Here is a 13,665-nt window from a genome sequence, read left to right as displayed (position 1 = left end):
TATGACTTTTGAGTTCCACTCATGGAATAAGATATTTTCTTCACTGTAACAGGTTCTGTGGAGATTTGATGGGAATAAACCAGATACTTTAGGACTCAATACTCGGCTGTACAAGTGGATACCCCAGAATGATCTTCTTGGTAAGTCTCTGAAGAACAAATACTGAATATATTAGTAACAGATTATTAAAGTGTTAATAGTTATCATGAAACAAGCTTACTGAACATTTGTTATGGAAAAACTTAAAAATAAAATGAAACTTCTTTATATTTATTTTCCAGTCCCGGGGGAAAAGAATAAATTGTTGGCATTTTATGATATGCACCCACATTCTTTACAATCAGAGTCAGAGTATCTTTATTTCAGGTGTTATTACCTCCCACAGAATTTTTCTGGCACTTCCTGGGTTGTCTTCCTTTCTCATATTTCTACAACTTTACACCTGTTCTTTCCTCCTCTGTAGGGTTATTTCAAATGTCACTAAAAGTAACAGCTCTTCTGCTATCACCAGGGATGCTGCATTTTCTGTAGGATTAAATCCCTAATCTTAATCAAAAAGTGATGACACATTTCATAATGAAATGTGACCTGTCTTTCCTCAATTCTAGCACCACCACCACCTCACTGCCTGCTGCCTTGCACACCCTACATATCACACTCCGTGACTGTACTTAAGAGAACACATTCTGGCTGGGCACGGTGGCTCACGCCTGCAATCCTAGCACTTTGGGAGGCTGATGCAGGTGGATTGACTGAGCTCAGGAGTTCAAGACCATCCTGGGCAACATGGTGAAACTCTGTCTCTATTAAAATACAAAAAATTAACTGGGCATGGCTGTTTGTCCCTGCAGTCCCAGCTACTCAGAAGGCTGAGTAGGAGAACTGCCTGAACCCAGGAGATGGAGGTTGCAGTGAGCCGAGATTGCACCACTGCACTCCACCCTGGGCAACAGAGGGAGACTCCGTCTCCATTAAAAGCAAAAAACAAAAAACAAAAAAACAAGAACACATTCTTTCATGTCCATCCCTTTTCTGTGCTTTTTTTCTTTTCTGCACATGATGTTTCCTTATCTAAATTGCACCTTTTTGTTAGTTCAACTGGTAATCTTGTATTAATTTTTTCAGTCTGAAGTTAAACACACCACATAGCCTTCACTTACATCTCCAGCAGAAGTAGGCGTTCCTTCCTCTGAAGTCTCAAAAACAATTTTAATTCAGTTCAGTGTGTTATCTAGGAAACACCGTCACATTCAGATTCTTCCATTGTGCATTTCTCATTTTATTCCTATGAATAATTTTGCTAAAATTCATCCAATCCTAGGTCACCCAAAAACCAGAGCTTTTATAACTCATGGTGGAGCCAATGGCATCTATGAGGCAATCTACCATGGAATCCCTATGGTGGGCGTTCCATTGTTTGCAGATCAACCTGATAACATTGCACACATGAAGGCCAAGGGAGCAGCTGTTAGTTTGGACTTCCACACAATGTCGAGTACAGACTTACTCAATGCACTGAAGACAGTAATTAATGATCCTTTGTGAGTATAACTTTTTTTTTACTCGGTGGTCTTTATAGATAGGTTCCCTTGTGAATAGTGAGTATGACTTTTATCCTTTTTATAAGCGACTGATTTCGAAAGAATTTAAGTGATTTAAACAATCTGAAATCTGCTTTTATTTTTGAGTGGTTATTTAAAAATTTTATTTGAACCACATACATTTAATGAATAATCAATTATTGAAATAATTTTCTACACAAAAATAATTTTAAAGTGATATAGATAAGAAGACATTTTAAAATAAATTTGACGTAATCAATCCACAGTAGAAAGGAAAGATAAACTTGACGTAATATAATAAAATATTTTAATTCAATATCTAAAATGTCTCAAAGTATATCTGTTTTCTCACTGAAAAATTTATTTTTATTATCATTATTGTAACAGACTTGATAATTAAATTTAATTTCCATAGCATAAAACCGACCTATTTAAGTATAAAATCCAAATATATTTAGTATGCTTACAGTCATGAAGCCATCACCATCATATAATTTTAGAACATTTGTATCAACGTAAAAGAAGCCATAATGGTATAGAAGTCACTCTGCATGACCCCTTAGCCCTAGGCTAACACCAATTTGCTTTCCTTCTCTATAGATTATTCTCTCTACATATTTCATATAAACTGAATCATATAATTTATGATGTGTAAATGACTTCTTTTACCAAGTACAGTTTTTGTTGTTTTTTTATGGTTTTTAGCTTTATTTATATTGTGTGTATTAATAGTTCATTTATTTTTGCAGCAATATATTTTATAATATGGGTATGCCATATTTTATTTGTCTCTTTATTAGCTCATTCACCTTTTGATTGTTTCCAGTTGTGGCTATTAGGAGCATTGCTACATGTTTTTGCATGAACGTGATTTCATTTCTTTTGGGTAGATACTAGACGTGGAATTTCTGGCTCTTGTAGGAACTGTGTGTTTATGAAAATTGCCAAACTGTTTTCCAAATGCTTGTTCCATTTGTCATTACCACCAGCAGTACAGGAGGGTTCCAGTTCATCCACATTGTTGCCAACACCTGTTATTATTTGTCTTTTTGTTATACCATTCTTGGTGGGTGTAAAAAGACCTCTCATTGTAGCCTTGGATTGCATTTTGATTATGGCCAGAGATGTTGATGTTCTTTATATGTGGTTACTGACCATGCATATACATTCTTTGGAAAAATGTCTATTTTAATCTTTGAAACATTTTAAAACTTTGATATTTGTCTTATTATTGAGTTTTATATAAGAACTATTTATGTATTATGGATACAATCCCATATGAGATATATAATTTATAAATATTTCGTCTCGTTCTTGGTGCACTAACATTTTACATTTTTGATGATGGTCTTTGAAGCACACAAATTTTATTTTTAGTGAGTAAAATTTTTGATAATTGATTTTTTCATACTCCAAAGAAAGCAATGCGCAAAATGCCTTGCCCAACCCAGCTACTATCAATTCAGCATTCATAACTACTATTAATAATGTTTTTATGTAAAAGGGGCTTCACCTAAAGGAATACTTTAAAAGTACTTTATCACAAAGAAAATAGAAGGATAATGAATGATAAAGCTACCTTTAAAGAATACAGGAAATAATTGGAAAAGAAACATAAAACAGGTTAGACAAATAGAAAAGAAATATAAAATAAGGTAGTAGATTTAAATGTGAATATACAGATACTTCCATTAAATCTAAACTGACCTGAAAAATAAGACCAAATAATGAGTAAGGACATAAAACAACTGAAGAACACAATTAACAATTGTAATGTTGTAATGTAACATAACACACACACACATATATAACTCATACATATGTATTCTATATATCAACTGGAAGGCATAGTTTTCTAGAGCATGTTGAGTAGGTAATAGTTATTTGAAGTTACATGGGGAGGGTCATAAATCAAGATTCAGTATGTATGAAAAGATTCAATATCATAAAGAGTATAAGATCCAGCCATAGTGAATGTGAGAAATTATAAAAATGATAACTAAAAAATCTTTAAATTTTGAATATTAAATACACTTTAGAATATTTTAAAGTAAAAAAGTAAATCATAATTATGCACACACTTTTATTTCAACAATTCCACTCTCAATTATATAGGAAAATATATGTATAAATTTGTAAGCCTATTGCTATATACAAGAATGTTTATGACAGAATTATTAATAGTGTCCAGAAATTGTTGGCACTCAAATGTCTATTGATTATAAACTAAAAAGATAATCTGTGGTATTCTCAATCAATGAAATACTACACAGCAACAGAATTAAACCAACAACTGCTACATTAAAAAAAAAAGACACTTTGGGAGGCTGAGGCAGGTGGATCACGATGTCAGGAGTTCGAGACAAGCCTGATGAACATGGTGAAAACCTTGTCTCTGCTAAAAATACTAAAATTAGCCAAGCATGGTGGTGCGCACCTGTAATCCCAGCTACTCAGGAGGCTGAGGCAGGAATATTACTTGAACCTGGGAGGTGGAGGTTGCAGTGAGCCGAGATCATGCCACTGCACTCCAGACTAGGTGACAGAGTGAGACTCCATCTCAAAAAAAGGAAAAAAAAAGGAGTATATATTACATAATTAATTTAATTACATAAGCAAGTAAAGCTGAAGTATGACCTTTGAAGTCAGGTTAATACTTAATTGGAGGACAAAAGCAGTGACTAAAATGGTCCAGGAAAAGAGAGTTCTTCTAAGAAGATTCTGATACCCTCTATCATGATCTGAGAGATAGTGGTATCTTCACTTCGAAATAATGTTTAAGATGATCTTACCTTATTGGGCTGTTTCACTTAGCGTATGTACACTTATGTTATGTGTTTTATGCTTAAATGTGTATTTTAGAAGACGTACAATGTATTTTAAGATTATAGGAATCAAATAAGTTCAAAATAAGCACAAAAAGTAGAGGAAATCCTAGGGGTTCTATCATAGTGTGGCCAGGAAAAGCCTCTCTTATTGGTAACATTTAGAGGGTTGCCTCAAAAAGAGATAGAAGCATGCCTTGAGTTGTTGCAAGAAAGAATACTCCAAGTGTGGGTAGAGGGGACGCAATGTGTAAGATGCTAGGACAGGAGCTTAAAGAAAAATATAAGGCCAATGTCCCTAGAAGACCTAGTGTGCATGGGAAAGTGGAGAAGAGCTTGCCAGTGTCTGATAATGCAGGATCCTGAGGACCAAATAACAGAGTTGGATTTTATTCTTGATATGATGAAAAGTCAGGCAAAAGTCTTAATCAGGGGAGTATCACAATCTGACTTTTATTTCAAAAATAATCATTCTGGCTACTGCGTGGGAAACAGTAGGACACAAAGAGTAGAATAGAAGCAGAGCATGTGGCTATGAGGCATTTCACCCACATGACACAATTCCTCTTTAGAAACTTAAAGATGATAATTCTCAAATTGTATTTTAAGGTGTATATCTTTTACCACTTAAAACGGCTCATGATGCTGACCATGATTTTATACGCCTGCTGGAGAACTAAAGGAGTGTAACTGGATATTTCATAACACAAAGATAAATGCTTAAGCAATGGGTAGCCTTTCTTCATGATGTGATTATTTCACACTGCAGCCTGTATCAAAACATCTCATGCACCTCATAGAAAAATACCCCTACTATGTAACCACAAAAACTAAAAATTAAAAGAAAATAAAATTGCTCATATGTTCTCTGCCTCAAATAATTAACTTTCTCACCTGACCCTCCATTGTTACTTTAAAAATATTTGTCAATTATGAAATTCCAATTTAAAAGCCAAACTTTCTATGATGACTCAAATTAAAATACACACATTCTATGTCAATTCTATGACATTTACTTTGAATGATCTGGCACTTTAAAAACCTTTCGTGGACTTGATGTGCTCAGGCAAATTAACTTACCTTCTCTTTTTTTGAGAGGGAAGTCTCACTCTGTCACCAGGCTGGAGTGCAGTGGTGTGATTGTGGCTCACTGCAACTTCCGCCTCTTGGGTTCAAGCGATTCTCCTGCCTCAGCCTCTCAAGTAGCTGGGACTACAGGCACATGCCACCACGCCTGGGTAATCTTTTTTTTTTTTTTTTTTTTTTTTTTCATATTTTTACTGGAGACGGGGTGACGGGGTTTCACCGTGTTAGCCAGGATGGTCTTGATCTCCTGACCTCGTGATCCGCCCGCCTCGACCTCGGAAACTGCTGGGATTGCAGGTGTGAGCCTCCGTGCCTGGCCAAATTAACTTACTTTCAATGTTGATACTTTTCTGCTTATCGTTTAGATATAAAGAGAATGCTATGAAATTATCAAGAATTCATCATGATCAACCAGTGAAGCCCCTTGATCGAGCAGTCTTCTGGATTGAATTTGTCATGCGCCATAAAGGAGCCAAGCACCTTCGGGTTGCAGCCCACGACCTCACCTGGTTCCAGTACCACTCTTTGGATGTGACTGGGTTCCTGCTGGCCTGTGTGGCAACTGTGATATTCATCATCACAAAATGTCTGTTTTGTGTCTGGAAGTTTGTTAGAACAGGAAAGAAGGGGAAAAGAGATTAATTACGTCTGAGGCTGGAAGCTGGGAAACCCAATAAATGAACTCCTTTAGTTTATTACAACAAGAAGACGTTGTGATACAAGAGATTCCTTTCTTCTTGTGACAAAACATCTTTCAAAACTTACCTTGTCAAGTCAAAATTTGTTTTAGTACCTGTTTAACCATTAGAAATATTTCATGTCAAGGAGGAAAACATTAGGGAAAACAAAAATGATATAAAGCCATATGAGGTTATATTGAAATGTATTGAGCTTATATTGAAATTTATTGTTCCAATTCACAGGTTACATGAAAAAAAATTTACTAAGCTTAACTACATGTCACACATTGTACATGGAAACAAGAACATTAAGAAGTCCACTGACAGTATCAGTACTGTTTTGCAAATACTCAGCATACTTTGGATCCATTTCATGCAGGATTGTGTTGTTTTAACTGTTGTTGAGGAAGCTAATAAATAATTAAATTGTATAGAAAGTCTCTTCCTCTTGATATTTTGAGATGATTAGTGCTGCTTGGCTTTTATTGTGCATCGTGCTTCAACGTCATTTTTTTTCCTAAAAGGTATGATAAAAATGCTTACCATTTTAGAGCTTAAGTCATTTCCCAGTGAAAAGTATGTGGAATTAGAAATATAGCAACTCCTACCTGGTTTCTACTACAAAATGAACTAATTTTACAATGCGTTTGGTTTTTTGAGCCAATTCTATTTTTCTGTTCATTTGAAAATATTCATCTTTTTTTATTCTTTGTTTTTTAGGTATTTCAATAGCTTTTGGGTGACAACTGGTTTTTGGTTACATGGATAAGCTCTTTAGTGGTGATTTTTCAGATTTTGGTGCACTCATTACTCAAGAAGTATACACTGTACCCAGTGTGTACTGTTTTATCCCTCACATCCCTCCTACCCTTCCCTCTGAGTTCCAAGAGTCCATTATATCATTCTTATGCCTCTATGTCCTAATAGCTTAGGTCCCCCTTATAAGTGAGAACATACATTGTTTGGTTTTATATTTCTGAATTACTTCACTTAGAATAATGGTCTCCAACTCCATCCAGGTTTATTTTGTCCATTTTGATGGCTGAGTAGTGTATATATATATATATAATATATGTGTGTGTATATATATATATTCCCCAACTAGTGGCTAAAGTAAATGTGATATTTATATATAATATATATTAGATATATATAATTATATATGTATGTGTATATATATATAATTATATATGTATGTGTATACAAACACACACACACACACACACACACACACACACATATATATATATATATATCTCACATTTTCTTTATCCACCCATTGACTGATGGGAATCTAGGCTGGTTCCACAGTTTTGCAATTGTGAATTGTGCTGCTATAAACATGTGTGTATATGGGTCTTTTTCATATAATGACTTATTTTCCTCTAGATAGATGTCCAGCAGTGGAATTGCTGGATCAAATGGCAGTTCTACTTTTAGTTATTTAAGGGATATCCATATTGTTTGCCATAGTGGTTGTACTAGCTTGCATTCCCACCAGCAGTGTAAATGTGTTCCCTTATTACTACCATGCCAACATCTATTATTTTTGGATTTTTAAACTATGGCCATTCACCATTTGTATATCTTCTTTTGTAAATTGTCTATTCATGTCCTTAAGTCACATTTTGAGGGATTATTTGTTTTTGTCTTGCTGATTTGTTTCAGCACTTTGTAGATTGTGGATATTAGTCTTTTGTGGGATGTGTAGTTTGTGAAGATTTTCTCTAACTCTGTGAGTTATCTGTTTACTTTGCTGATTATCTCTTTCGCTGTTCAGAAGCTGTTTAGTGTAATTGAGTTCCATCTATTTAACTTTGTTTTGGTTGCCTTTGCTTTTGGGTTCTTGGTCATGAAGTCTTTGCCTAAACAAATGTCTAGAACAGTTTTTATGATGCTATCTTCTACAATTTTTATACTTCCAGGTCTTAGATTTAATTATTTGATTCATCTTGAGTTGATCTTTGTATAAGGTGAGAGATGAGTATCCAATTTCATTCTTCTACATGTGGCTTGCCAATTATCCCAGCACCATTTGTTGAATAGGTTTTCCTTTCCCCATTTTATGTTTTTGTTTGCTTTGTCAAAGACTAGTTGGCTATAAGTATTTAGTTTTATTTCTGAATTCTCTATTCTGTTTCATTGGTCTACATGCCTGTTTTTATACCAGTACCATGCTGTTTTGTTAACTATAGCCTTGTAGTATAGTTTGAAGTCAGGTAATGTGACACTTCCAGATGTGTGTTTTTTTTGTTGTTGTTGTTTGTTTTTTTGCTTAGTCTTACTTGGGCTATGTGGACATCAAAGCTGAGAATCAAATAAAAACCTCAACCCCTATTAAAGCATCTGCAATAATAATAATAATAATAAAATAAATACTTACAAATATACTTAACCAAGAAGGTGAAAGTTCTCCACAAAGAAGACCACAAAACACTTCTGAAATAAATCATAGATGATGCAAACAAATGGAAACACATCCTGTGTTCATTTGTGGCTTGAATAAATATTGTGAAAAAGACCATACTACCAAAAGCAATCTATAAATTCAATGTAATTTCCATTAAAATACCATCATCTTTATTCACAGAACCAAAAAAAAATTCTAAATTTCTTGTGGGTTCTATTCTCATTTTTCACCTTTAATGACAAATGTTAAGTTCTTAATTTTTGGTTGTAATAATATAGGAATTTCATTATGAAGGGATTAAGTGTATTTTTAATCTTGCTAAACATACATGTACATATACATGTCCATTTTTTTAAAATAAGACACTGCATCATTTAGTTACCTAATAGATAGGTGGTAAAATTCAATGTGTTTATTGAAGACAGTTTGAAATAATAATTATATTCCACATACTATACTTCAAATAATCATCTCTAATTTTTCTCTTTTTCCACAGGGTCTTTTGATCCATTTCTTCTCTAAATATAAAATAGAAGCATGAAATCTTTTAGGATGACAAAAAGTGTACAAAGTATACAATGAGTTTATAAATTTTGTGGAAAATAGCTAAATCAAGCCATAAACCTTCTTTAATATACACATCAGGGAAGCACTTTATGATAAAAGTGGTCCAGATGGACAAAAACTTAGTTGTCTTTGCTGGTAAGAAGCCTTACTATTTACTAATTATCACACAAGTATTCTCCAGTCTAAGGAATGATTTAAATATAAATATTATATATATATATTTCACTACATATGTATATATATTTATATATGTATATATAAATCATGACTATATATATATATATATACACACACACACAGTATAACATTGATGCTAGAGAAATTATAGGAAAAGTTTATAACAGAATATTTCATACAAATCATCCAGGAACTGATACATATATAAAGAAACACAGAACTAATATAGTGCCAAAGGTTAATAATGTTGTTTTATCATGCTTATAAACCTCTGCTTATTTACATTAAACCTATCCTACAACACATGTAACAATAGATTGGTTTCCATTGTTTAGTGACAACTACAAAACAACAACCAAAAAAGACAAACAAATCTAATAAAAAGTTGATGAAAGTATGAATAGGTAATTCAAAGTAAAAATGGCAAATAACATATCAAAGATGATAAAGTTACTGATGCTCAATTAAATAGAAATAATGCCAATAAATTATTGCTATAAAAACCTCAAATAGAAGAGTCAGCATAACATGGTGGTTAAGAGCTGGCACTCTGAATTCAGGTCACCTTGATTCAAATCTCTGAGAAATCACTAAATAATGGTGTGGGTTGGACAAGGTATTTAAACTTTATTTGCTTCAGCTTTCTCACCAATGAAATGGCAATGTTGGTCACAGTATTATCTACCTCAGGGGTTGCTGAAAGAAGGGATTCACTAATATTGTAAAGTACTAGAAACAATTTTGTATACATCAAAATAAAATTTGCACTCTTATAATTAAATAAAAAAATTTCCACAACAAGTTTACTGTTCATAAAATTGCGTAGTACAGGCTAGGCATGGTGGCTCACACCTGTAATTCCAGCACTTTGAGAGACCAAAGTTGGTGCATCACAAGGTCAAGAGGTCAAGAACATCCTGGCCAACATAGTGAAACCCCATCCTTACTAAAAATACAAAAATTAGGTGCGCATGCTGGAGTGTGCCTGCAGTCCTAGCTACTCAGGAGGCTGAGACAGGAGAATCGCTTGAACCCCAGGAGTCGAAGGTTGCAGTGAGCTGAGATCACGCCACTGCACTCTAGCCTGGTGACAGAGTGAGACTCTGTCAAGAAAAAAAAAAAAAAAAAGTAAACCAACAGATACACAAAAAACATAGTACCATTTGAAAACATGATGTGTTTGTAATGTAAATAATAAAAATGACATAATTTACTATTTCAAATATGTGGGAATTAAATTTATAGCATAAAACAAGGGCTAACAAACTATGGCCTTTTGGTCAAATCTGGCCATCCACTTGTGTTCTTTTTTAAATAATTGGTTAAAAATTTTTATGCCACAAAATTAAACACTTTAACCATTTAATGTGTACAATTCATTGGCGTTTAATATATTTGCAATATTTTGCCACTACCACCACTCTCTAGATCCAAAGTATTTTGTCACTTCAAAAGGAAGCTTTATACCCATTAGACAGTCATCTCGCATTCTCCCATCCTCCATCTCCTGCAACCTGGCATTATCTGTTGGCATCATTCTATAGCCTAGTAGATAATGTTTTTTTAAAGGCAAATAGGTACATAACTTCAACAAAGTGTTTTATTTTTCCTTATTTTTACATCTCCTATTTGTTCCTAAATGAAAATTCTGTGATGTATAAGAATTAGTTATTATTTCCTAGTTGCTCTGTTATTACATATATTCAGCAGTGTTGTGATTTATATTGTTACAGTTTCTGTCCAATTTTGTATTGAAGTCTGTCCCTTGAGAATTGCAATAAACCAAGCTCTGATGGAGGTGAGGAAGTGAAATTCAGATGTGTGTGTCAGGTAAAATACAATGAAATGTAAAATAAAACCAAAATGCATGAAATAGAAGAAATGTATTACAGTTCCTAGAGATATTAAGGATAATGACATAAAACGGACAGAAAATTCAGAAGTGGCAGAGAGCTCAACCAGCTGCCTGGAAGTGATAGAGAGAATCCCTGTGTGGGGGGCTGTGGGGGTGCTTTTCTTAAGGTCTATGAGCATTATTTCCTAGTCTTGTCTGCCGGAGTTGTGGAGTGGCTATCTTAAGAAAACACACATGAAGAGGGAAAATTATTATTTGATTCTGGTGTTGACCATTAGGTTATCTCATGGTAATCAGCTCTGTGGTATGTTGCATTTCTGGGTCAGTGGGATGAGAAACAAGTGTACTCTGTCACAAACAACTACACAAGGAAGGGAAGTTTCACAAAGCCAAAAGTGACAGGCTATGACTTGCTCTTAAACAACTCAAGTTAAGTCTAAAAATGGATGTGGAATCAATAACTATATTCAACAAATGTATGACAAGAAGGTAGAAAAGGGATGGATCCAGCAGGACCCAGGAGACAGCCCAAAGACTGTGAGTGCCCAAACTGTGAAAGTGGGAAAGGAGATCATCTGCCTTTGAACACACACCCTTACCAGGAAACCTAAAGTTTCAGACCACAGAAGTTGACCTGACCTGGAGCTGAGTCAATTAGAGAGCAGAGTGAAATACAGGGGTACAGGAAGCAGCGGGAAAAGCCCTGTGGATTCTCTGGGTTTCCAGGGAAGCCATTTCTGTCTTGTCTCACAGGGGTCCTTGGGGAGGGCTGCCAGAGGAACTGGGAAAAGACCACAGGGAGAAGGAAACCTCCAGCTGAACTTTGCAACAATTCCAATAGAATGCAAAATCTCCTGGTCAGAACTCCAGAGAGTATGTGAATTGGTGTGTAGACTCAACAGGTGGGGAGGTGTGAACACCCTGCTTGCTTTCTCAGCTGGGAGGCTGGTAGCCTGGAGCAAGCTCTCAGCCCTGCTCACCCATTGACTAGAAATAAAGTTGGTGCTGTTGGTAAGCGCATGGTGGAAGTGAGACCGGTCTATTGGGTTGCATGGGTGCTGGGTGAGGCCTGTAACTGTCAGCTTTCCCCCACTTTCCTGACAACCTGCATGACATAGCAGAGGAAGCCATAATCCTTCTGGGATTATAACTCTATTGACCTGGGAACCACACCCCCAACACCCACAGCAGCTACTACATCAAGGGAACACCCTATGAGACAAAAGAATCTGAACAGCAGCCTTGAGCCCTAGATCTTCCATCTGACATAGTCTACCCAAAAGAGAAGAAACCAGAAAAACAATTCTGGTAATATGACAAAACAAGGTTCTTTACCACCCTCAAAAATCACACTAGCTCACCAGCAATGGATATAAACCAAAAAGAAATCCTACCTGTTGTATTAGTGTGGCCTGGAAATGGGACATGGAGTTAAAGGAAATTATTTTGGAGGTTTAAAATTTAATGACTTCCCTGCAGGGTTTCGCACCTGCATGGGGCCTGTAGCTTCTTTGTTTTGGCAAATTTCTCCCTTTTGGAAGAGGAGCATTGATGCAATGGATGTACGCTAATGACATCTTGAAATTAACTAACTTGTTTTTAATTTTACATGTCATAAGTGGAAGGGCCTTACTTTGTCTCAGATGAGACTTTGGACTGTTGACTTTTGAGTTAATGCTGAAATGAGTTAAGACTGGAGATTGTTTGGAAGGGATAATGATATTTTGCAATATGAGGAGAACATGAGATTTGGGAGGGGACAGGGGCAGAATAATAAGGTTTGGATTTTTGTTCCCACCCAAAATACATGTCGAATTGAAGGAGTGGCCTGGTGGGAGGTGACTGGATCATGGGAGCTGATTTCTCCCTTGCTGATCCCTGATCCCATGATAGTGAATAAGTTCTCATGAGATATAATGGTTTAAAACTGTGTGGCTCTTACCCTTTCACTCCTACTCTCCTGACACCATGAGAAGATGGTTCTAATTTCTCCTTTGCCTTCTGTCATGATTGTTAAGTTTCCTCCAGCCTCCCAGTCATGCTTCCTGTTAAGCCTGCACTACTGTGAGTCAATTAAACCTTTTTCCTTCATAAGTTATAGTCTCAAGTAGTTCTTTAAAGCAGTGTAAAAACAGACTAATAGAAAGAGTATCTGCAAAAAAAAAAAAAAAAAAAAGCTAATGGCACACTTAATAGAAAAGCCTAAATGATTTTTTTTTCCTAAGGTAAAGAACAAGAGAAAGAAATCAACTCTCTTCACTTTCATTCAAAATTGATTTGGAGATTTTGGCAAGACCATTAGGCAAAAACATAAAATAAATCAAATCCATATTGGAAAGGAAGATAATAAAACTATCTTTATTGGTATATGGAATGATCTTATATACAGAACATCTTAATGAATCCACTATAAAAGTATTTGCTCAAAAAAAAACAAAAATTTTAGGACATAAGATCAATATATTAAAATTATTTGTATTTCCACATAATTGCAATAAATTAT

The 13,665-nt window shown here is 35.0% G+C and overlaps 1 protein-coding gene across 3 annotated transcripts in view, besides 1 other annotated feature; it reads left to right on the top strand.

The window, feature by feature from the left end:
* The window catches only part of UGT2B4 (UDP glucuronosyltransferase family 2 member B4), a 45,850-nt gene extending 39,266 nt beyond the window's left edge, over nt 1-6,584 (top strand). For 2 of the 3 annotated variants that reach the window (NM_001297616.2, NM_021139.3), the window contains 3 exons: nt 53-140; nt 1,322-1,541; nt 5,839-6,584. In NM_001297616.2, the coding sequence (NP_001284545.1) occupies nt 53-140; nt 1,322-1,541; nt 5,839-6,115 (585 nt within the window). In that variant the 3' untranslated portion in view covers nt 6,116-6,584. The remainder of the gene's footprint in view (nt 1-52; nt 141-1,321; nt 1,542-5,838) is intronic. The other variant, NM_001297615.2, reaches the window with a different exon arrangement.
* Nucleotides 3,908-4,101: a silencer, noted in NCBI's record as "fragment chr4:70348366-70348559 (GRCh37/hg19 assembly coordinates)". NCBI's record gives its function as "represses an EF-1alpha promoter that drives an FKBP-Casp9 reporter gene in an ReSE screen in phorbol 12-myristate 13-acetate-treated (for megakaryocytic differentiation) K562 erythroleukemia cells {active_cell/tissue: K562(+PMA)}" and the evidence as "EXISTENCE:reporter gene assay evidence [ECO:0000049][PMID:32094911]".
* Nucleotides 6,585-13,665: the final 7,081 nt, after the last annotated feature.

This window comes from Homo sapiens, chromosome 4 (genome assembly GCF_000001405.40).
Source record: "Homo sapiens chromosome 4, GRCh38.p14 Primary Assembly".
Classification (NCBI taxonomy): Eukaryota; Metazoa; Chordata; class Mammalia; order Primates; family Hominidae; genus Homo; species Homo sapiens.
Note: the sequence above shows the minus strand (reverse complement) of the source record. Positions and strands in the feature narration are given on the sequence as shown.